This window comes from Homo sapiens, chromosome 12 (genome assembly GCF_000001405.40).
Source record: "Homo sapiens chromosome 12, GRCh38.p14 Primary Assembly".
Lineage (NCBI taxonomy): Eukaryota > Metazoa > Chordata > Mammalia > Primates > Hominidae > Homo > Homo sapiens.
In genome coordinates this window covers 52,606,574-52,631,257 of record NC_000012.12, presented here as the reverse complement: position 1 = coordinate 52,631,257, position 24,684 = coordinate 52,606,574, and the positions used below count along the sequence as shown (strand labels likewise).

Sequence of the window (24,684 nt, the reverse complement as noted above, 5' to 3'; positions counted from 1 at the left end):
GAAGCCCATCTCTGGGAAGCCTGACGTTCCTAATACTCATCTGGGTGGAAAATGATTTAAGGTGGTTCTTTGGTAGAAATAACGCTTCTAGGTCCACACATAAAATAGTGGATATCTTCCTCCCACTATGGATTGTCTATGTTACTATCTCTTTCATCAAGATCTGACTGGGACAGAGCATTCCATATTATTGTCTAGGAACTGGCTAGGTGATCTTTGATAGTTACGTAAGTATGTTACATAGGACTGTTTTGTTTTCTCAGCTGGACTATACATTCCTAGCAGACAGGAATATGTCTCCTCTGTGTGTTGGTTTTGGCCACAGTGACCAGCCTGGCCAGGACATAAAAGTCTTGGTTGACCGAGGCTTAGAGATCTGGGGTTAGGAGCCCTGCTTTCACTCTCTCTGTGCTATCTTTTCACTCTTGCCTTCCCCCACTTCCTGTACCAGAAGCTCCAGGTCACTGACAGGAGGAAGGGTGAGGACCTCAAAGCCATTTAGATGGAGGTCGATGAGCTGAACTGAGCCACCCAGAGACTTCAGGCAGAAATCACCAACCTCAGGAAACAGATGGGACCCCAACTCAGCAGTGGTAGCCTTTGGAGGGGGGAGAGTGGGGTTAAGATAGATTTTTTTTCCAATTTTTCTATATTCTCACATTTCCCACAATAAGGGTGGGAAAGAGGGTGGAGAAGAGACAAGCATAGGTGGGTGCAGGAAGGTACCTGGTCTCTCGTGATCCACTCACTGCCTACTGTTGGCCCTCGGCACAGTGCTGCCCTGCAAGACACCATCCTGGAGGCAGAGCAGAAGGGCAAGGTAGCCATCGGAGATGCCCAGGACAAGCTGGCTGAGGTGGAGGCTGGACCAGCTGCTCTGTGAGTACCAGGAGCTGATGAGCATCAAGGTGGCCCTGGAGGGCCAGGCGTGCAGGTGGGTGACCCAGAGGAGACAGGATAGGCAAGGGTCCTCACTGCACTCCGTCGTGGCAGGCACTCTGTCAACCTTCCCATCTGTATGATAGGCAATTGATTAACTCATTCATTCCTGAAATGTGCCTCAGGCTTCGTTCAGCAGTGCTGTCCAGTCAGGGCCTTTGACCAGGGTGCACGTGATGAGCACTGATCCTGGCCCTGTATGCTGCACTGCTTTACCCTCTAGACTTTCCCTCACTTGAACAAGAGGGAAAAGGGTGGGGATTTCCCTGCTGTTGAGAAAGGCTGGGAGACAAGTTATAGTTTTCCTTGGTTTCACCTGGTCCAGGCACGGCTGTATTGATCCCGGGCTTGGAAAGGGTGGAAGGCATACAGGTTGAGGGGCCTGGGAGAGTGTGAGTGTTTGTGCAAGTCTAGGAACAGTGGCCATGAGGCGACTGTGGGTTGGGAGGGTGAGCAAGGGGAACAGATTGAGAAGGGCTGCTCTTGTTACTCTATACAGGAGTTGATGCGATTCCCAGCTGAGATTGAATTATGAATTATGAAGCAGACTTGAGGTATCCTTTCCTCTGACGTTGTTCTCCTCTGAGCCCCGTGAGAGGATCTACTGATTATTCTGTTTTCATGCGAACAGGCAATCTAGAGAAGTCACCAACAACATGAACTGCTCTACATAGGTGGGGGTGGATTTGCTGTGCGGTCAGGATCCAACCTTCCCTTTTCCTGAGAGTAAAAGGAAGGAGCCTTTGGCCAGGCAGCTGGGGCCCTGGGGCCCTGAACTTGCTCTGTAGGCATTGGCTGTGTGGCCTTGGGCAGGTCACTATTTGTCCGTGGCCCTGTGGAGGTTCCTCCTCCACAGTATAGGAGCTGCAGGGTTCCTCTTCCGTGTAGAAACTCACGCTGCATCCACGTGGGGGAAGGGGAGACCCTGCCTTCAGGGCCCTTGCTGCCTGTGGTGGACACATGGCCCAGACAGTGGGTGGTGTGGGAGCCCTGGCCACTGTTCCTTCATGGGACACTTCAAGAAGGTGCCCCTCAATGCTGTGTGAGATGGATATTCAGGGATGTAGAAGGGGTGTGGGGGTGCACAGAGCTGTCTCCCCACAGCTGTGGTGTCAAGCACTGTTTCAGCTCTCAGGCCACTGTGTCTGGCTTTTGCTCAGGGAACAGAGACTTCCTGAGAGGGGGCACCATCCCCTGAGGATCTGGTGCAGCATCCAGGTTCGTGTCCAGGGCTGCCAGGTCCTTGGGGGCCAGCTGGAGGGTCCAGACCTCAAGCTAGGAATCCTGCACATGCTGGTCCTGACTTGGGAGATGAGGAGTCAAGTTTAATGAGAGTCCAGGTCTCCAACTCAGGGCACAGAAACCTGTGGGTCTCCCTCCCAGAGGCAAAGGCCAATCTTCTGGCCCTGCTCTCTCCTGGTATCTGTCTGCCTGAGCACGCATACCTGCTCTGGCTCTACCCCCACCTTTTTGTCTTCTATGGCAATGTGGAGATGGGCTTTTGGGTCAAAACAAATTCTTTTTCTTTTCTCCCTCATGCATCCAAATGCCAGGCCCCAGAAGAAAGCCCCTCTCAGTGGGCCTTTGGTGTCAGTCACCTTCTCCCTTGTCTCTCCCTGCAGGCTCGTAGTGCTCTTAGCCCACACTGTCTCCTTCTGTGATGCAGAAGCAAGAGCTCTTCTCCTATCTCTGGTACTGAAGTAAGGGCATGCATAAACACCTTTTGAAACATGATTACTATCAATTCTCAGTTATCCACCTTAGTGGATGTCAGCCATGGTACTGATTATCTGCAACCATGTTTAGCAAGAAGTTGTTTTTGTTTCATTTTACAAGGCCTCCTATGACCTATTCTAAGGCAGAGGGACTCTCTGCCTTCCACGGATTCGTAGACCCTGGGTGGCCACAAAAGGGAGGAGGAGAGAGGAAGATCTATGGGGACTGGGAGGGTGAAAGTGTGCCAGCCCGGCCCCACCCCATTCCCTGAGAAAGCCAGGTGGATTATCCACCTGGAGAGCAACCTGAGGGTGGGCTGGGTTCAGGTGTCTCCCCTTCTGCCGGAATGAGTATAAAAACATAGCAGAAGCAAATCCATCATAAGGGCCATACTTCAGGCAGAGTCTAGTTTGAAATGATGTCCAGTGTGACCTGCTGGGCTATGAGGGGTGTGACTAGAGCCCTGGAGCCCTCCAGTTTATGAAGGAGATCTTGCATCCTGTGTTTTGTTTAAAGGGTTGCCCACTCCCACCTTACCCTCTCTCCCACACCTCTCCAATAAACTTCATGGGGAATTTATTCTGTTTGGAAACTTTAAAAATATTCACTAATAAGATCTTCCCTGAGTATTGTTCACTACCCCCAGATTGCCATCCTGCAAGGCACACATGTGCACATGTGCACACACACACACACACATGTTCATTCTGTTCTATCCTTGCTTGGCTGTCTGTGCTGACAGGAGGGAACACTGGAAGGGGTGCTATTCCTGTTTGGCTTTGGAAGGTTGGCACAAAGGACCCTTGTTTCCTCTCTCTATTAGGAAAACTCAGCTTCCGTTTTTACAGCAATAACTTCAGGCCTTGAGCCTTGTTTGGTGGCCAAGCTGGTGTTATTATTGGCTAATTGCAGGGTAATAGTGTTGCTATCATTATTGCTAGGAGGACTATTATCAGGTAACTAAATGGCCAGAGGGTGTGGAGTGGGAAAAGCAGCCTGGGGGCTTGGGTCACAAGGGCAACTCTCCTGTTTCGTCTCCTGCTTTGCTCAGAAGGCAGTTTCCAGTCCAGCACTGCACTTGGAGTCCAGAGGTGTTGTATTGGAAGGCAGGTCTTGTCAAAAGTTCCCTGCTGTGAGCTCTGTTTTGAGCAGCAAGGGGAGGAAGATAGCCAGGGATAATGGTGCACAGGTCCTGCCTTTGAGCCACTCCTACACTTCTGAAGAGGCAGCATGCATTCATTCAACAACCATTTATGTGCCAGATTGTTCTCAACACTAATACAAAAGGGTGATCAAGACTTCTGGCTACTGGGAAGCAGGTAAGTGAAGGTGCACAGTATAGTGAGACAGATGCTATCTTGGGAAGAGCATCTCAGGAACAAGAGACCCAGATTAGGAGGATAAGGGAGACTTCCTTGATGAAGATTTCTCAAAGCTGAAACCTGAAACCTGAAAGATGAAGAGTTAGCCAAGGGGAAGGGAGTGTTTAAGTAGAGGTGCTGTATCTACTGTGAACAGAGCAGTGCTGGGCACATAAGTAGGTGCACCATAAATGGTTGAAATGGTCAAATGAAAGAAAAGGAGATTGACAAGAGCATAAGAAACTGCAGTCTGGTGGAGCTTGCAGAGAGATGTGGCAGGACAGGTGGGTGGGGCAAGATCAGGACAAGAGAGCCCTTCCGGGTAGAGTGGCCACCTTGTTCCTGTTTGCCTGGAACTTTCCTAGTTTTAAAACTGAAAGTCCTACATCCTGAGAACCCAATAAGCCCAGGCAAATGGAAAATGTTGGTCATCCTATGGCTGCGTTGCCTTCCCAGATTTGGACTCCATGCTGCAGCTTTGAGCAGTGGACTATTAGACACAATGGCAAGAATGCTTGCTTACCTAGCAGGCAGAGCATAGCTGAGCCTGCTGGGTGCCTCCCCACCCCGCCCCTTATCCTTTCTCCTTTCACAGAAGTAGAAATTTAGATGAGCACATGGCCAGCCACCCAAAGATGACATTTCCCAGCCTCCCTTGAAAATAACTATGGCCATGAAACTAAGCTCTGGTCAGAGGGATACGAGTTGTGGTATCTTGCTCCTGATTGTGCTGTTAAAAGGCACAACTCCTGAGAGTGGGTTCAGGCTCTGATGAAAACAATATGAGGAAGTTTAAGAAACTCTCCAAGCTCAAGACCTGACCCAGACCTTTTCAATAAGAATCTCAGGGTCAGGGAAAGTAGGGATTTTAGAAAGATCTCAGGCAGTAGTGGTTAAAAGGATGGACTCTGCAGTGGGCTGCCTGGCTTCCAGTCCTGGTTCTAGCTATGTGACCTTGTGCAAGTAACTTAACCTTCTGTGCTTCAGTTTTCTTATCCATAAACTGTGTGTTAACTGAACCTTCTTGATGGGGTTATTTTGAAGATTAGTGTGCTCAGAACAGTACCTGTCATATACATGCTTAATTTATTAATGTGCTCAGTAAACATTGCAAGATGTACTATCGCATATCACAACCAGGATATTGACATTTATACAATTAAGATACAGAACTTTACCATCATCACAAATTTCCCTCATGTTGTCCTCATTTGGACACACCCACTTCTCTCCTGTGACACTGTTTAACCCCCAAGCAATTACTAATCTGTTCCCCATTTCTGTATTTCAAGAATGTTATATAAATGGAATCTTTTTGAGAGTATTACATAAATGGAATCATACAATATACAAATCATACAATCCCTGAGGATTTTTTTTTTTACTCAGTATAATTCTTTAGAGATTCACATGGGTCATTGCATGTAGTGATAGTTTATTTCTTTTCATTGCTGAGTAGTACTCTATGACATGAATGTACCACGGTTTGCCACCCATTGAAGGGCACCTGGATTGTTTGCATTTTTTGGCTATTACAAATAAAGCTGCTATAAATGTTTGCATACAGGTTTTTGTGTGAACATAGATTTCATTTCTCTGGGATAAATGATCAGGTTTGTAATTGCTGGGATGTATGAGAGTTGCTTGTTTGGTTCTTTAAAAACTGCTAAACTGTTTTCCAGAGTGGCTGTGCCATTTTACATTCTCATTAGCAATATATGAGTGCTCTAGTTTCTCTGGGTCCTTGCCAGCATGTAGTGTTGCCACTAAGTCTTATTTAAGCCATTCTGATAGGTGTTGAGTAATATCTCATTGTGGCTTAAATTTGTATTTCTCTAATGTTGAATTTCATTTTGTGTGCTTATTTGCCATCGGTATGAACTATTCAGTGAAAGTCTTGTGATGTTTTTGCCCATTTTCTAATGCAATTGCTTGTTCTTTTGTTGTTGAGTTCTGAGAGTTCATTATGTATTCTAGATCCTAGTCCTATGCTGAATATGTGGTCTGCAAATAATTTTTCCTAGTCCATTGCTTGTCTTCTCATCCTCCTTAACAAGGTCTTTTGCAGTACAAAGTTTTTAATTTTGATGAAGTCCAGTAGATTTTTCCTTATATGGATTATGCTTTTGATGTCAAATCTAACACCTCTTTACCTACCCTTTATCTTGAGGATTTCCCCTATTGTTTTTCTAAAAGTTCTATAGTTTTACATTTTATAGTCAATTAAGTCTGTGATCTATTTTGAGTTAATTTTTGTGCAAAATATGAAACTTAAATCAAGATTTTTTGTTTTATTTTTGTTTTGCCTATTTGTATATAATTACTTCAGCATCATTTGTTGAAAAGGCTAACTTTCTTCCACTGAATTATTTTTGACTCTGTCAGAAACTAGTTGAGGTCCAATTTATCTATTTTTTTTTTTTGTTTTGTTGTCGCTTGTGCTTTTTGTTTCTGTTATGGGTTGAATTGCATTCTCCAAAAAAGATATGTTAAAGTCCTAACTCCCATTACCTCCAAATGTGAATGTATTTGCAAATAATGTGCTTTAAAAATTTTCTTTTGAGACTTCCTCTTCAACCCATGAGTTATTTAGATGTATATTGTTTAGTTAATAAGTGTTTGGATAGATCCTGTTATCTTTCCTTTGTTTACATTCAGTTTATTTATTTTGGCTAGAGAACATACTCTGTATGGTTTAAGTTATTTACAACTTGTTGAGGTTTATTTTATATCCCAGAGTATGGCCTATCTTGGTATATGTCCTGTGGGCACTTGAATAGAATATTTATTCTGCTTTTGTTAGGTAGAATGTTTATAAATATCAATTAGATCCTGTTGGTTGATGGTACTGTTAAGTTCTTTTATATCCTTGATAATATTCTTGCTAATTGTTCTATTGACTGTGAGAAAGGAATATTGGAGTCCTTAACTATAATTGTGGATTTGTCTATCTAATATTTTAGTTCCATCAGTCTTTCATTCACATATTTTGCAACTCTTTTGTTTGGTGTATAAACATTAGGAATGTCTTCTTACTAAATCACTATTTCTTCTTGGTGAATTGGTCTTTTTAAATTATACACTGTCTCTCTCTGTCTCATAATTTTTTTGCTTTGAAGTATACTTTATCTGATGTTAATCTAGACACTTATAGTTGAGATAAGTTTTTGGAGATAGCATATAGTTGGTTCATGTTTTAAAATATACTCCGCCAATCTCTGTCTTTTAATTGGTACATTTAGGCCATTTATATTTAACATAATTATTGATATATTAGGGCTTAAGCTGCCATTTAAATTTTTGTTTTCTAATTGTTCTCTTTTTTCTATTTATGTTTTTCTCCTACTGTCCTGTTGGTTACTTGAACATTTTTAAGAATCCATTTTGATTTATGTATTGTGTCTTTTAGTAAACGTTTTTGTATAGCATTTTTAGTGCTGCTGAGTATTTTATTATATATACATAACTTATCACAGTCTATTGCTATCATTATTTTATCAGTTGAAGAATCCTTACCTCTTTATATTCCTTTACCGTCTCTCATTTATAATATAATTTCTTAAATATTTCATCTAAATACATTTAGAATCACATCAGACAGTGTTAGAATTTTTGCCTCAACCATTGAACATAATTTATAGGAAATTCAAGAGAAGGAAAGTCTATTGTATTAACTTATTTTTTAAAAATTATCATGTTTTTTCCTCCTTCCTAATGTTTCAAGTTGTCTTCTTTTATCATTTTCTTTCTGTTTAGAGAACTTACTTTAGCCATTCTTTTAGGGTAGGCCTGCTGGAAACACATTCTTAGTTTTTCTTCATCTGAGAATGTTTTCATTTTGTCTTCATTCCTGAAGGATATTTTTACTGGGCACTGAATTCTGCATCAACAGTTCTTTGCTTTCAGCACTTGAAAACTATGCCACTCCCTGCTAGCCTCCATAGTTTATGATGAGAAATCTTCTGTCCTTCAAATTGTTTTTTCCCTAAAGGTAAAGCATTGTTTCTCTTTAGCTGCTTTCAGGTTTTTATTTGTAGTTTTCAGAATTCTGACTATAATATGTCTAGGTATGAATTTCTTTGGGTTTATTCTGTTTAGGGTTTGCTCAGCTTCCTGAATCTGTGGGTTTACGTCTTTTGCCAAATTTGGGGAATTTTTATTCCTTATTTCTTTGAGTTATTTTTCAGCAATACTTCTTTTCCTTTCCTTCTGAACCCCAGTGACTTGACTGTTAGATCTTTTGTTAGAGTCTCCCTGATCCTGAGACTTGGTTCATTTTATTCTTCTTCAGTCTGTTGTTCAGTTCTCTTTATTATTCAGATTGGGTAATTTTTATTGTCCTCTCTTCCAGTTCACTGATTCTTTCCTCTGGCCTTTTATTCTCCTGTTACGTGTATCCATTGAGTTTTTTATTTTGATTATTATATTTCTTAGTTCTAAAACTTCCATTTAAAGATCCAGAAGCTGATGGATGTGGGTCTGATCGCAATTCAGTGATGACTTGTTCATCCTCCACTTCCCTTCGCCCTCGTGTGGAAAGAGGAGCTGGGACTGTGGCAGGCAGCAAGGAGCGGAAGGGAGAGAAATGGGATAGAAGGCCTCATTTCTATATATTTATACACAACCCCAGGGAAGGCACAGAGACTTGTACTTGCACTGTTCATGCTGTCACTGCCTCTGGGCCCTCCCAGCACACGTGTGGTCTCTTCACCACTGCCCTCCAGTTCCGTGTCTCCTTCTTCTGCCCCCAGTTGCTGTCTCAGCTGCTCTCCCAGAGTTGGTTATTTTTAGTTTGGGGCAGTAGGCATATATGGGGAGGAGAGGGGGTTCTTCCCAGACTCACATCCCAGATGTTTATTCCATGTCCTCTTCTCCAATAAAACAAGCAAGTTGGGGATGTTTATAAAAAAATAAAAAATAAATAAAACTTTCATTTAGTTCTTCTGGTTTTTAAATTTCTTTGTTGAAACTGTCTAATTTGTCATCTATTTAGCATGTTCTTAGTTGTTCATTTAAGCATGTTTATTGTGGCTGCTTTGAAATCTTTGTCAGATAATTTTAACAACTTTGTCATCTAAGTATTGGCATCTATCAATCGTCTTTTTTTTTCATTCAATTTGAGGACTTCCTTGTTCTTGGCACAATGAGTGATTTTTTAAATAAACATTTGGACATTTTGGTACTATTATGAGATTCTGGATATTGTTTAAATCTTCTGTTTTGGCTGCCTTCTTCTGACATTGTCCTTGCAGGGGAAAGGGTGTGGATGCTACCTTGTTATTGCCAGGTGAGGGTGGAAGTCTGGGCTCCCCACATGGTCTCCACTGGTACCAAGTGGGTCAGGCACTTGTTACCTCCTGGTGGGGATGGAATCCCGGCTTCTTTCTTGGACTTCCCTGATTCCATCTAACTGCTGGGGGAGGGGGCAGTTGGGGCACCTCATTATAGCCTGGTGAGTGTGAAGGTCTAGGCCTCACACTCAGCTTTTGCTGATGTGGGTGTAGGTGAAACCATAGTATTTTCTGTGTGTTGAGATGGAATAGAGTGATTATTCTCTGTAAGTTTTCCATCTTGCTAGGCTGCCCCTTTCCTGATGATGTGGCTACAGAGATCAAGCTTTTGTTTAATCTTTAAAAATCTGAGCCTTTCCAGATTCCTGCCTTCTTCTGCCCCAAGTCTGGAATATAGGAGACAAATAGAAAACCTAGAGAAATAATCATCATGTCTTTCACTGGGTCCTGAGGTCCCTGTTGGTGTGCCTTCTTCTCTACGCTTCAGAGTCTTCTTATGTTTGTGAAGAAGGGAAAAGTATGTCTACTTCATCTTTCTAGTTGTGGAATATCCACATAGGGAATACTGATTTCACAATATTTATTTGATTGCCCCTGGGGGTGACAGAAAGTTGATTTCCTGCCTGTCTCTCTCTCTCTTTCTCTCTCCCCCCCCCCCCCTTTCTTTCTCTCTTTTCTGAAACCATCAGAAACTCTTGCCCTAGTGTCTGGGCAGAGGCTAATGGCAGGACAGCCCCACTGTGGGAAGTGGGGCTGACTTGGTAATTGGGTTCATCTGGCATTGAGTTTCCCCTGGTGAGGGCAATATAAGGGATGTGAAATATAAGGAGCTCACTGTGTGAAAACCCACTTAGAGGCATTTCAATGACAGGTGCTAGGGATACTGTTCTTAGGGAGAATGATTTCAAAGGGCACCTAAGAGTTTTTTAGCCTAGTCCATGACTGCCTGAGAGTCCTTTGCCACTGGAGTTCTGGGAAGTGAGTAGAGAGGACCAAAGGGAGGATAGGACCTGGATCTTGTCCTCAGGAAAATTTCTGGCCGTTAGGAAAGATTGACATACCTCCTGAACACAGGTAGAGACATCAAATTAGAAGAGACAATTGACATAATAGATGCTGTTGTTTGGACAACAAACAACATGTGGGAGGCTGGGAAGAGAGGTGTGATTGGATTAGGAAAGTGATCAGAGAAGGTTTCCGGAAGTGCCTCTGTGGCAGGTTCACAAGATGAGAAGGCCAGGGAGGGGAGGGGAAGTGAAAACCATAAGGAGAGGGGCTGTTTGCTCGTAAGCACATCCACGCCATACTGCAGAGTTGGCATTCACAGCATAAATGCCATTGGGGGTTATCTCAGGGCCTGTGACATGCAGCAATTTGTAGTTTTGCTGAGATGCAGGCCTGAATCACCTCCACCCCAGTGCTGGTGTGCTGAAATGAGCCAATTAGGGAGTGATTCTGGCTGGAATACTAAGCATTCTCATCACAATGCAGTTTTGTTGGTCTTCTTTGTGCCTTACAAAGAAACTTACAAAGGAATAGAAACTTTGGGTCAGGTGCGGTGGCTCACGCCTGTAATCCCAGCACTTCGAGAGACTGAGGCGGGCAGATCACCTGAGGTTGGGAGACCGAGACCAGCCTGACCAATATGGAGAAACCCCATTTCTACTAGAAATACAAAATTAGCCGGGCGTGGTGTTGCATCCCAGCTACTCAGGAGGCTGAGGCAGGAGAATCCCTTGAACCCAGGAAGTGGAGGTTGCGATGAGCCGAGATCATGCTATTGCACTCCAGCCTGGGCAAGAAGAGTGAAACGCCATCTCAAAAAAAAAAAAAAAAAAAAAGAAAAAAAGGAATAGAACTTCATGTTAGCTAAAAAAGATTAAAGGACTTCCAAGTGGCATTGCCTTTAGTGAAATTGAAGACATCAAAGAAAATGATTATTCTTAACTAGAAAACAACCATATTGTATAAAACAGAGGGGAGGTTGAATTTGGCAATTGCTTAGTACAACAATTTTAGAGGCATATCATAACCTCTATACAGAAATAGAAAAGAAGGATGGGCCAACTGTTCATTCAAGTACTCCAGCTAGTGAAATACTTGTGTTTTTATGGAGGAAATTCTATACTATGGATATATTTGGGATTTGGGATTTGGGAAACTCTTGGGTCACATACTTTGGCAATGTCAAGGATCCATGAAATTCAAATGTCTTCCCCTACCTCCCCATCTCCAAAATTGTGAGCTAGGTTTGGTCTTCATAATTCGGGACCCAAGAGCCTAGCACAGTACCTGGGAGAGAGTCAGCCCTCAAGAGAAGTCTGTTAAACGAATGGATAAATGAATGAACAAGTAGATGGCTGGCTGGCTGGTTGGACGGATAGATGGACGAATGAATAAGGCGGGCATAGCTCTGAATGTGGAGTCAGAAGACCAGCCAAGGGAGTCCTCAAGGCTGGGGCCTGTGCTTTTTGGGGGCATTTTCATTCTCTGGGATTCACACAAAGAAAGGACTCACTAAATGTTTGCTAAAGGAATGACATCCTCAATTATCTGAACCTTGGTTTCCCCATTTGTGTAATGTGGATCATCACCATTCCCCTCCATGCAGACTAAGTGGATTAAATGAGCTTCTTGTGTGAGGAGCTCTGTTACACTGTAAAGTGCTGCACCAGTGTCAGCCATCGTGAATGGTGCAATGACCATAATTTCAAGGTCAAGAGTCAGGGTAGTGGGATGGTAAAGGGAAAAAGAAGTCAGTGTGTGCAAAGGAAGGTGAGCAGGGCAGCCCGGCTGGCACAGAGGAGCAGGAGAGCTGCCTGGGAGGGCACAGCAGGGGGCTGGCAGCCAGAGGCTGGTCCTGGATTCCCAGTGTGCTCCTCTCCTATGGCCCTGGCCAGCCATCAAACCTGTCTCCAGGAACTCTGGGAAGCCAGGCAGCAGCAGCCTCTTCTTAACCACATAAAAGCAGCTCAGCCAGGGTCCCTGAAGCAGCCCATCTGATGCTGGCATGGTTGTGAGATTTCTAACAGATGACACTGTCAATTAAAGGTCTCCCCTCTGTACCCCTACAATCCCAGGCCCCACCACTCCCTGGGGAACAGCAATTGAGACTGCGACAAACCTCCCACCTAAGATCTTTCTATGGATAATGTGCCCATGCTAATTACACATGTTCATTAGATAAAACTCAAATTACATGAGCAAGACTTGCAAGACTAGCACTTTGGGAGTTTTCAAGTCATTTACCTGGTGTCTGATTTTGCTGGGAGAAAATGATTTCTTGCTTCCAGGCAAACTGAACCCACAAATTAGGCCCATGGCTCCCTCTTGAGTCCTATAAAGTGGGAGCCCAGGATCACAGGCTGGTGAACTGCATCTCAGCTAAGGGTCAGCATCTTATCCCCACTTTCTGGCCTCCCCACCATGAGCCGCCAATTCACCTACAAGTCGGGAGCTGCTGCCAAGGGGGGCTTCAGCGGCTGCTCCGCTGTGCTCTCAGGGGGCAGCTCATCCTCCTACCGAGCAGGGGGCAAAGGGCTCAGTGGAGGCTTCAGCAGTCGGAGCCTTTACAGCCTGGGGGGTGCCCGGAGCATCTCTTTCAATGTGGCCAGTGGCAGTGGGTGGGCAGGAGGCTATGGATTTGGCCGGGGCCGGGCCAGTGGCTTTGCTGGCAGCATGTTTGGCAGTGTGGCCTTGGGGTCCGTGTGTCCGTCGTTGTGCCCGCCCGGGGGTATCCATCAGGTCACCATCAACAAGAGCCTCCTGGCACCCCTGAACGTGGAGCTGGACCCTGAAATCCAGAAAGTGCGTGCCCAGGAGCGGGAGCAGATCAAGGTGCTGAACAACAAGTTCGCCTCCTTCATTGACAAGGTGGGTCTTTCTGGAGAAAGCTGATCTTGGGCTCCCCTTTTAAGGACTCAGGAGGGAGCCACTGCCCTAATTTGTGGTTCAATTTGCCTGAGAGCAAGAAATCATTTTCTCCCAGCAAAATCAGACACCAGGTAAACAACTTGAAAGCTCCCCAGGTGCTGGGCCCATAAGGCTTGCTCATGCCGTAGAGCCCCTTCCTTCCCCCGCCTTCATTGTCCTTGGGGTGCTCCCTGTCTGAAGCAGACGAAGGCAGGACACCTCCCCAGGATGCAGACATAGCCCAGGGAGGAACTGGACAAAGCCTGGACATCAGAGGCAAGGGACCAGGGTTGGAGGGGTGAGAGGAGCCAGCAGCCTAGCCCAGGAAGGTGTCCAGGAAGCAATGAGAGCGGTCTCTGAGTTGAGAAGTAGCAGAGTGACAGCCTGTGAGACTTAGAAGCTAGGCGAAGGAGATGCCCTTGACAGCCTGGGGCATCTAGACTGCCATGCGACCCAGCTGTTCCTCCTGTGTCCCCTGAAAGCTCAGACTCAGTCCGTAACACACACAGCCTATGAGGCAAGGCAGCTGGAGGTCACGGTGCCCTAGAGCAGTGGTTCTCAAAGGTGGCCCTGGAACCAGCAGCAGCAACGTCACCTGGACGCTTGTTAGAATGCACACTCTCAGGCTCCACCCCAGAGCAACTGAATCAGAGACTCTGCAGCAGGGCCCAGCACCCTGCATTTTAACAAGCTCTCCAGGTGATGCTGATGTACACTCAGGTTTGAGAATCACTGAGGAACAAAGTGGTAGGAAGGTATTGGGAAGCAGAGACTTCCTAAGCTTAGAGGAGCAGGGGAAGCTCACCCGGAGCGACAGTGAGGTAGGGTGGTGAGGCATGAGTAGGAGTTTTCAGATGGAGGTGGGGAAAAGGCAATCTAGGGAGACAGCACGTGCAGCATGGTAGAACTTGTCTGGGGAATGGGAGACCTTCGGTTTACGACATCACTGTATGAGTAAAGAAGGAAGCCAGGAGGGCTGGGCACATTATGAAGAGTGTGATAAGGAATATGGACTTGACCCTGAGGGTGATGTGGAACCACCTGAGGGTTTTAAGCAAGGGAATGATATATTTGTAGGTTGCAACTTGAGAATGCTTGTTCTGCTGCTGGGACAATGCTGTGATTGAGATAGTAGAGATTCAGACATGAAAGCAACTTAGGAGGGCCGGAGACCCCAGATAAGCTGAACATCTGCCTCTGGCTGGGCTGGGAGAGCCCACGCACAAGGAGGGAGAGACTAGGCAGAGCACGGGCCACCAGACCCCGAGCAGAAGGCCTGACAGTGTGAAGGCTAGCACAGGCCAGCTTGTGTCTAAGGGGCTGCCTTGGAGAGGTGGCCTGGACTGAACATGGACATCGGTCCAGGCAGGTTTGGATAAGTGCAGAGGAGACAGGAGATCTAGATCTTGATAGTTTGAGAGGGAAATGAAGACATTGGTGCCCCTCCCAACCTTAAGGGCTGCCTCAGAGTGAGAACTTCAGTCAGATAAAGGACCCTAGGTAAGGAGTGGGGGTGTGAGTGGCATGGGTGGCAGTTTTTAAGGGCTGAGGCTCATTTTTAAAGCTAATGTAGCATAAGAAAACACAGTTCCTGTCCAGGAAGGGAATTCTCACATCCCCTCTCCACATTGCTTAAGTATGTGTGGCATGGGTTCCAGGTGCGGTTCCTGGAGCAGCAGAACCAGGTGCTGGAGACCAAGTGGGAGCTGCTACAGCAGCTGGACCTGAACAACTGCAAGAATAACCTGGAGCCCATCCTTGAGGGCTACATCAGCAACCTGCGGAAGCAGCTGGAGACGCTGTCTGGGGACAGGGTGAGGCTGGACTCGGAGCTGAGGAGCGTGCGCGAAGTGGTGGAGGACTACAAGAAGAGGTGAGCAGGACGCCACTCCAGGCTGGTCTGCCTCCCAGGGTGAGGCTTTCCCAGCAGGCACTGGGATGTTTGCCTCTGGCCTTGGAGGTATTGGGTTCATCTGTCCCAGCAAGATGAGAGCCTTCTATGGGCAACGAGGCAGACTAGACAGTGGACAACCAGCCTCTTGGGCAGCGTCAGGGCTGTCCTGGCAGGTGATCCCCTCCTTGGCATGCTCCTTCCTGCTCCCTGTTCAAGGGAGCCTGTATTGTGTGTGCCGCAGCCTCTTGGCTCCTAAGCTCACCACTGTGCCCCTGAGTTCCAAAGAACCACCCCCCACCCACCCGCTGCTCTCTGCCACAGGGAAGGAGGTGGAGTTCCTGTTGGGCTTCCTCTCTCATTGCCTTTCGGTCCTGGACACGGGCCATGTGCCTTCTTTCTCCCCTGGGAGATAGTTCTGGCTTCCTTGGGACCCCTGCCTAGGGATGGAGGGGAGTTGTTGGTAGGTTGTCAGGCAGCAGGATTGACACAAGAATCATGGCTGAAAGGGGTAGCTGGCATGCTTCTGTGATTCAGATACTGAGTGGGAAGAGGAAGAACCTACTCACTCCCCAGGCATCAGAGGAAATCAGACCTCAAACCACCCAGGCTCAGGAGGAGGTTACTTCATACCCGGCCTCCAACTCTGGCCAAATAGTCCTGGTGTGTTGGGATGGACTTGCAAAGGTATAGAATAATACCTCTTAAAAGGCATATAATATGGGTATCTCTTTTCTCATTTCACTATGAGAACGTATACACACACACACAGACACACACTCTGCTTCCTGTGATGCTTTCCCTGCAGGTATGAAGAAGAAATAAACAAGCGCACAACTGCTGAGAATGAATTTGTGGTGCTTAAGAAGGTGAGGAGGGTGCATGGGTTCCCTTCAGTCCCCCAGCAGTGGGTGCTGGGCTAAGAGAGAGGAGCAGCTGAGGTCTGAGCCCCCCGCAGAAGGGCCTGGAGCCAAAGTGCTGAAGGAGGAGATGAAGGGCTTGCTGCTTGGGACATTTTGGGACACCTGGTGTTGGTTTAGCACACAGTACTTTGTCTGTGGACAGGAACCTAGATGTGGATAGTCAGTCCCAACTCATGTCCCCTCTGGCTGGGGAACAGGACAGGCTTTGGGAGGGGCTGCAGGTTTGCCTTCCAACTCTGCTAGTTTCTGGCAAATCGCCGTGGCTGTCCTTGCCTCCCTCTGTTGGCTGAATGACTGGCTGAGTGGGGTATAGAGTCTCACACCCTTCTCTGAGAAATAGAGGCAGAAGGAGTTCCAGAGGCATGAGAAACTTGCCCCAGGTTTCGCAGTGAGTCTGACAGTGAAGTTGTGGCTGGAAGGCCGGTTCCTGCCCCTTGGATCTGAAGTCCTGGGCAGCTAGCTAGGGCAGGGCCTGCAGGTGTCAGTTCGCTGGAGAGGCCTGTCTGGGCTTGAAGAAAGGTGAGGTCAGGGGTATCTGGATTCTCCATAGGACGTGGACGCAGCTTACACGAGCAAAGTGGAGCTGCAGGCCAAGGTGGATGCCCTGGATGGAGAAATCAAGTTCTTCAAGTGTCTGTACGAGGGGGTAAGGCTCCCCCTGCCCCACCTCTGGCTCTGTCTTCTGGAAGGACAGATATGTGATGAACAGTTTCTTACTTATCTGTAACTTAAGCAGTCCAGGGCACCTCCAGCATTGGGGTGCTGAGAAATTTGTAGATCAAAGGTGGGAGTGGCCATCTATCCTGGTGCCCCATCCATCCCTGACTGCCCTGAGGATGTCCTGCTTTCACTTCCTCCAGGAAAACAGAGTCCTTAAAGGGTTCCCACTGAACTTCAGCCAAGCATATTCTCATTCCTGCTTCTCTTCTCTCTGTGGCTGGGGATGTTTCCTGGGGTCTTGGGCAGGAATCCCCAGGGATAGAGGTAGGAAGTCCTCATACCCCTTCTGCCTTCTCTATGTACATCTGGTTTCAAGCCTCAACCTATTGGCCAAGCATTTCTGGGCTCCTGTGCCCCTTAGTGTCCCATGTGTGGCAGCCAGGCTGTTGTCTTCCACCTTCCCCACTCCTGTCCTGTCTCAGGGGACAGACATATGGGCTGTTTTCTTCCTGGGCTGCTTCAAACCCATTCAGCAGTTTTCAGATGTGGTATTGGAACCTCTGGGCTGTGAGCTCTGTTCTTACAAGCTTTGGGAAGTGCAGCTTCCATCTGTGTGGGATGGTCTAGGGCCATCCCTCTGGGACAGGGCCATCACCTTGGGACCTTTCTCTGGTCACAGAAGGCATTTCATGCTTCCTTGTTTCCCCTGCAGGAGACTGCTCAGATCCAGTCCCACATCAGCGACACGTCCATCATCCTGTCCATGGACAACAACCGGAACCTGGACCTGGACAGCATCATTGCTGAGGTCCGTGCCCAGTATGAGGAGATCGCCCGGAAGAGCAAGGCCGAGGCCGAGGCCCTGTACCAGACCAAGGTGAGGCCGCAAAACTCCCCATAGTGAAGTATGCAGGGCCCTCTGCTCCAGACTCTGTCTTGTCTGCCCCATGACTCACTGTGGTGGCCCATAGCTTGCTGGGAGCACAGCACTCTCCTGGGCACTGGGGGAAGCCAAAGGGGAGGAGAAGACACAGCTCTGTCCTTGGCACCCACTTAGATCAACAGCACCCCTGGAGGATGCACTCAGCTGAGTGCAGGTGAATGTGGTGTAAACAGAGTCCAGACTGAGGAACTAGGACCAGGTGGGGCAGGTCAGAAACCACTCCCTGGAGGCAGAGAGTTCTGTCTGGAGGGGAGAAGCCACATGAGTAGTTGGCATCTCAACTCCCCCGCTAATTATCATAAATGAGGGGGTCTCTTCAGTGTGATCTGGAATCAAGTAATTTCTACCTTTTCATTCAAGTCTAACTCCAAGGATAAAGCAGAAGTTTGAGGCCTCAGATCTTAACTCCCCTAATGGTAGTGGGTGGGAAGTGATTCTTTAGATAATTTGGTTTCTCAGATCAAGATGGCAACTTCCTGATTGTTCCTTGCTGTTTATCAGGCTCTTTCTCAAGGGAATCCACACTCTTGGGAGATCTTATCTCATCCCTCTCCCTGCCTCCTTGCTAGCCTGCAGTGGTGGAGGAGAGAGGCTTTCAAGGTCTAGGAGACATAGGCTAGGGCTTCTTGGTAAAGGTTCAAACTCAACTCTTCAGTCCCCAAAGCCTTCCACATTAGTGTTGCAAGCTAGGGTCAGGAATGCCCAGAATCATAACAGTATTATTATTGCTTATTTTGATGATTCCTTTTTAAAGATAAAGAACGTAGGGCCCAGGGAGTTCAAGCTACTTACCAAAGGCAATAGCTGACAAGTGACGCAGCTGGATCAGAATCTAGGTGACTGACTTCAAATTCCACTGCATTTAGGCAGAAAATCAGAAGGTGACTCTGGGAAAGAAGCATTTACTCTAAGGGCTTTGTGTGGCTTGACAGAGGAGTGGCAGGAAGATGTTCATCTGTTTGCCTCAGAATGAAGCTGCTTGGTGTCAGAACCAGTGTACGGGGAGGCATCCTGCTCACACAGCCTTGCGGAGAAGCAGGAGAAGGCCCCTTGTTTAGGGTTGGCACCAAAGATAAAATACAAGGAGTGAAGAGAGAAGCCCTTCTGCCTTCTCTGCTTTCTGGATAACTTGACATCTTTAGGAACAATCCTAAATCTTGGGCCATGCTGGGGTGGAGCACCCAGTGACAGAGACAGAGCAGTACACCAGAGTGCTGAAGGGTCCCTGTTTTGTTTTCCCCTTGAGCCACATTCTGAGTAGAACTGATGTACTCTCTGTGACTGTTTAATAGATGACAACAAAGACAGAAATAATCCCGAATTAGTAGATGACCTAAAATTCATGGCTAGTGGTTTTGGGGTATAGCTGAATCCACCCCCATCATGCACACAAAATGTTCCTCCATGCTAATCCCTCCCTCCATCCCAGCCCTGGAAAGCTGCCTGTGGGCTGGGGCCCAGCTAAGGTATCAAAGGGAGGGAGTCACAGAAAATACAGATGGACAGCTCATTGGCTCACTCATTCATTCATCAGACTTTTTTTGAGCACCAACTAGGCACTATGCTAGGTACTGGGAATTCAAAGTTAAAAGAAAAAGTCTCTGTCATCCATTCATTCTGGGTCGGATGGAGAACACATGGAAACAGGTTCACAATACACTACAGTGTGGGGAGACCTATGGACTGGTGTGCCAGTGGCAACGGAATAGAATTGCACCCAACCAGGGCATCACGGAAGGCCTCATGGAGGAAGGGACTCTGCACTGGTTAAGTTGGAGCTAGCTAGGGAAAAAGGAGGATGGATGGGGGAGGGTTTTTCAGGTCAGAGGAGAGGCTCAGGCAAAGACTCAGAGACAAAAGAACACGTGGGACATCTGGGGGAAGTGTGGGACTGTTTGGCCGAGCTTGGGAGTCAGATAGGTGTTAGGCAAGGGCAGAAAGAAATGAGCCCCTGGATGCCATGTAAGAGTTTGAATTTGACCTTGACTTTGAAGGACGATAGGCAGAGGAACGTCATAATTGGAGTAGTGTGTTATAAAGTTGCCATATGGAGAGTCTGGGACATTCAACAGTCCTTATGGCCAATTCTAACCATCCATGAGATCAGCTGTGCTTAAGGCAAGCAAATGCAATGGCCCAATGCTTTAATGGGAGGCTGCTGATAGACATGGTGAGGCGGGGGACCTGGACCCACCTCTGCCAGGCTCTGCAAGTGCAGGCACAGTCTCTGTACCAGGCTGATCCCAGCCAAGCCCTGAGTCAGTGTTCTTGCTTTGGTTCCTTTTCCTCTAGTTCCAGGAGCTGCAGCTAGCAGCCGGCCGGCATGGGGATGACCTGAAACACACCAAAAATGAGATCTCAGAGCTGACCCGTCTCATCCAAAGACTGCGCTCGGAGATTGAGAGTGTGAAGAAGCAGGTGAAGGGGACTGGAGCCTTCCTTACTCACTCCTAAGGGAGGGGTGAACTGCTTAGCACCCCCTGCCCCCTCCTTCTCTTGAGCATCCATTTCAGAATCCCCTTCTTCAAATGGAGGTCCTGCTCTCATCCCTCACCCTTAGCTCCCATCTGAAGTTTGGAACAATTGCAGATTATTTTCATAAAGCTGTGGGGCCCAGCGTAGCAAGCCTCTCAGTCTCAGGTTGACAGGACTCCACCTGGATGTGGCTGGGTCTCTGCTCCAGGACATGGGGCAGGACAGAGGAGGGCTCAACCATTGAGAGCATGGGAGAGGTGAAGCGAGGCCCAGGGAGGAACTCAGGGAGAAATGCTACCTCCTGACCCCAGTGTGCCAACCTGGAGACGGCCATCGCTGACGCCGAGCAGCGGGGGGACTGTGCCCTCAAGGATGCCAGGGCCAAGCTGGATGAGCTGGAGGGCGCCCTGCAGCAGGCCAAGGAGGAGCTGGCACGGATGCTGCGCGAGTACCAAGAGCTTTTGAGCGTGAAGCTGTCCCTGGATATTGAGATCGCCACCTACCGCAAGCTGCTGGAGGGCGAGGAGTGCAGGTGGGTGGGACCGAGGGACTGGAAGAAACTGCAAGTCTCCACCTTAAAGTTTCCCAGAGTGTGGTTGGGGGCGGGGGGGAGGGGGCGGCGAGCTGGCGATGTGTTTACTTCACCCACAAGCATAGTTTCAAACAGCATCCTGCCAGATAATGTGACAGCAATTTCCTTTACAGTTCTCTTTTGACTCTTTGGAGAAAGTCTTAGCTGGGTGCTGTTGTGTCTTTAACACCTCTCAGATGGCCAGGCGCAGTGGTTCGTGCCTGTAATCCCAGCACTTTGGGAGGCTGAGGCGGGTGGATCACCTGAGGTCAGGAGTTTGAGACCAGCCTGGCCAACATTGGAGAAACCTCGTCTCTACTAAAAATACAAAAGTTAGCTGGATGTGGTGGTGCATGCCTGTAATCTTAGCTACTTGGGAGGCTGAGTCAGGAGAATCGCTTGAACCCAGGAGGCTGAGGTTGCAGTGAGCTGAGATCCTGCTACTGTCCTCCAGCTTGGGTGACAGAATGAGACTCCATCTCAAAAACAAACAAACAAACAAACAAACAAACAGACAAAACACAAAAACACCTCTCAGACACTTACAAATATCCCCTATTGATAAAGAGACAGTAGATCTCAGGTGCAGCATCTCTGGGAAAATAATAGCATTATTTAGCCCAAAAGTTTTAAATTGTTTTCTTTTCATTATATTTATTTTTACTGCTACTTTTTTTCTTATTTGGTTAGGTAATAATACTGGTTTCTATTTACCCTGGTGATAAAAAACTTCTTTTTAAAAGAAATGCACTTTTGTCGTAAAAGGCAGAGTCAATTAAAAATACTAAATATCTAACAGTACAAGTCAAACATGGTCCTAGCAACAGTCAGAAGGGTGGCACACGAAGCATGAACATTTGAAAAACCCTGTTCTAACCAAGCACCATTTTATAACTGAGACCTGGAGAGAAGTCACTTGCCCCAAAATCATACAGTTCGTTCATTAGTAGCAACTCCTGATCCTGATCTTTCCACATATGTATTTATTCAGACAGCTGCTCACAGTAGTAAAGAAATGGGTTCAAGAGAAACCCTGCAGGAGGGACCTTGGGGGTGGTAATGTTGTTGGGGGTTCCAAAGTTGCAGGTTCCACATCTCTGCAGTGGGAAGAGTAGATTGAGGAGCGAGAGGGAGGGCTTAGAGACATGCAAGGGCAGCCAGTGCCATCTGGCAAGTGTGGGGTGCGTGAAGGCTGAGCTGGTCTGGCTGGGGATCCCCAGCCTGTGTTTAGGCAGTGAGGGCCACTATGGGAGTCCACGTGATTCAGACTCTCCTGTGCTTTTCTCTCTTGCAGGATGTCCGGAGAATATACCAACTCCGTGAGCATTTGTGAGTATTTCATGACTCTGAGGGAATACTTTTAGTCCATCAACAAACACAAAGTGGGTGGGTGTCCACCGCCCAGCCCCCTGAGGAAGAGCTTGGCTCTGCCTGTTGACCACTTGGTCACATACTCACCTTCCTTGCTGAGACCTGCGGCCTCCCCATTCAGAGCTACTTCTTCCAGGTGGAGCTAGTGCCCAGGACATTCTGATACTGCACACTAGCCTCTTTCATAGCAATCTCCTGCCTGCTGTGGTGAAACTCTCAGCCCCTCCCCTCTTCTGTCACCCCCACACCGGCTCTCCTGCATGAAGGAAACTGAGCACAGAGTGGTGCCTCCTCAATGGGAGTGGAGACTGGTGTGTGGACCACTGTGCAAGCCAGTTTAATGCTGGCCCCACAGGGTTTGGCAGTCTCTTTCTTATAGTGGGACCAGCAGAAACTCCCTAATTTTAACAATCAGGAAATTCTTTTGAAAAATACTCAGAAGGTATTGTAAAGCTAAATGCAAGAACCTGCTGGCTTATCTGATGCTCAAGCATCATCTGTCCCCTGGGGAAAGCCCTTGCTACTCCTGTTTGTTCATAGAATGACAAGGTGACTGACTTGGGAGTCTTGCAGGACTGGGGCTATTCTTCCCGCGCTTGAGTTGCTCAAATGAACCCAAGTTCATGGTTGATGGGAAGTGTTTGCTTAAGAAGGAGGTATTTAAGCTAGTGGGGCTGGGAGGTTGGAGGGGGACTTAAGGCCACCTCTGTCCTGGGATATACACTGATCACTCGTCCCTCCCTCCTCTGCAGCGGTCATCAACAGCTCCATGGCCGGGATGGCAGGCACAGGGGCTGGCTTTGGATTCAGCAATGCTGGCACCTACGGCTACTGGCCCAGCTCTGTCAGCGGGGGCTACAGCATGCTGCCTGGGGGCTGTGTCACTGGCAGTGGGAACTGTAGCCCCCGTGGGGAAGCCAGGACCAGGCTGGGGAGTGCAAGTGAATTCAGGGACTCCCAGGGAAAGACCTTAGCTCTAAGCTCACCCACCAAAAAAACCATGAGATAAAAGTGCAACACAGCCCATTTCCCAGTAGTCTGCCTTGCCCTGGCAGACTGCTCCGGACTCTTCTAGGAAATTCCTCTGTCTCATTTGTCCTCATCTCCTTCTTGCTTTGCTTTGCTGTGGACCTCTCCTCCTTCTCCTTGACCTCTCTGCCTCAGTCTTTGTTAATGTTGAATCAGGATTTGAGAGCTGGAGCCCATCTTTCTGCCTCCATCCAAAGAGGCCTTTTAACTCAGCCTCCCCTTCTGGAAGAAGACTTGGCCTTTTCTCTGCCTGCATGTCCCTGTGCAGAGGAAGGCTGTCTCTCAAGGGTAACCCCAATCTGCCTGTGCTGCTCTTTCATACCCTGTCTCAGTAACTATTTGGCCATGTGCTCCCTGGGTACACAAGTTTTCAGATCTACTGATAGACCTGCAGGAACTCTCTCATGTTAGAGCAATACTGGCTCAGGCAAAACACCTGGTGGGAAGTTGTATCTTGTATAGCCACTGCATATTACATAGCCAGGAGTACCCCTTGAGGCTAATTCTACCAACCAAGGGATTTGTGCTCTTCATCTGTGGGTACTTGTCCTTGTTTAGGCCTCACCTCCCTGCTCCTGTGTCTTACCAATAAACTTATAAAGCCCACGTGGGGTCAGGCTGATTCTCTCTCCTAAGGGAGTCCTCATCTCAGTCCATGTGTCTTCTGCCTGTGGAGTGGTCAATGAATGGGAGCCTGGGGCACCTGAAGTCTGGAAGGATCTTTTGATCTGAGTGAAAGAGACCCTATTCAGCCTGAGTGATCTCACCATCACCTTCTAAGTCTTGCTTTTCTCAGGCCAATTCTCCAGTGAATGGGGGATCTCTAAGAACATTTGGGTTATTGGCAGGGAGAAGGAGCCCACACTTGCCTGGTGTCAAGATTTAAAACTGGTCAAGAGGCAGCAGAAGGCCAGTTCTAGGTAGCCTAGGTCGAATTATGATGGCTCCATGTCCCCTAAGAAAAGGCCCAAATGTAGAGACTCCTCTTTGAGGTAATGACACGTGTTCTCTTGGCCCTTAGTAAAGTTCCCACTGAGTTGAGCACGGGTGTTTATGTATATGTGTATATACATAAACATCTGTATATGAGATCACCCAGGCTATGAGTTTGTTTATGTATGTATGAATATGTGTGTGCATATGCGTATATGTTTAAGAATGGGGCTCTCTGTTACACACACAATTGCAGATTCTTTTCATAAAGCTGTGGGGCCCAGTGTAACAAGCCTGTCAGTCCTAGGTTGACAGGACTCAACCTGGATGTGGCTGGGTCTCTGCTCTAGGAGGAGATGGAGCAGGACAGAGGAGGGCTCAACCACTGTGAGCGTGGGAGACGTGAAGTGAGGCCCAGGGAGGAACTCAGGGGGGAAATGTTTGTTTTGAAAATGCTCAGAGATTTCTCATAGATCCCCAGGCCATGATGATGCCATCAGGATGCAACAGGATGCAAAAGCGAGTGAGAGGCTAGCACACATTCAGGTTGGGGCTACCACGTTGCATCTGAACAGGTCCCTGTGGTTCCTGGGAGGATCCTAGACTTCAAGTCAATAGCTTTGAATTCAGATTTAGACTCTGAAACTAAGTGGCAATAATGAACAAAGT

The 24,684-nt window shown here is 47.6% G+C and overlaps 1 protein-coding gene and 1 long non-coding RNA gene across 3 annotated transcripts; one reads left to right on the top strand and one right to left on the bottom strand.

The window, feature by feature from the left end:
- Positions 1-496: 496 nt before the first annotated feature.
- Positions 497-23,688, top strand: KRT73 (keratin 73). Of its 2 annotated transcripts, XM_047428761.1 has the most exons (11): positions 497-593; positions 775-934; positions 1,439-13,180; positions 14,878-15,092; positions 15,919-15,979; positions 16,584-16,679; positions 17,406-17,570; positions 19,929-20,054; positions 20,423-20,643; positions 21,977-22,011; positions 22,806-23,688. In XM_047428761.1, exons 3-11 carry the CDS (start codon positions 12,734-12,736, stop codon positions 23,060-23,062), a joined length of 1,623 nt encoding a protein of 540 aa, XP_047284717.1. In that variant the 5' UTR covers positions 497-593; positions 775-934; positions 1,439-12,733; the 3' UTR covers positions 23,063-23,688. The 2 variants fall into 2 exon arrangements, with proteins under 2 accessions (XP_047284717.1, NP_778238.1); NM_175068.3 differs by lacking the exons at positions 497-593; positions 775-934 and having other exon boundaries at positions 12,699-13,180.
- KRT73-AS1 (KRT73 antisense RNA 1) lies at positions 15,953-21,407 on the bottom strand. Its single transcript, NR_126005.1, has 3 exons — positions 19,831-21,407; positions 18,429-18,917; positions 15,953-17,694 (listed from the first exon to the last, which is right to left on the bottom strand). It is a non-coding gene; the product is annotated as a KRT73 antisense RNA 1 (long non-coding RNA).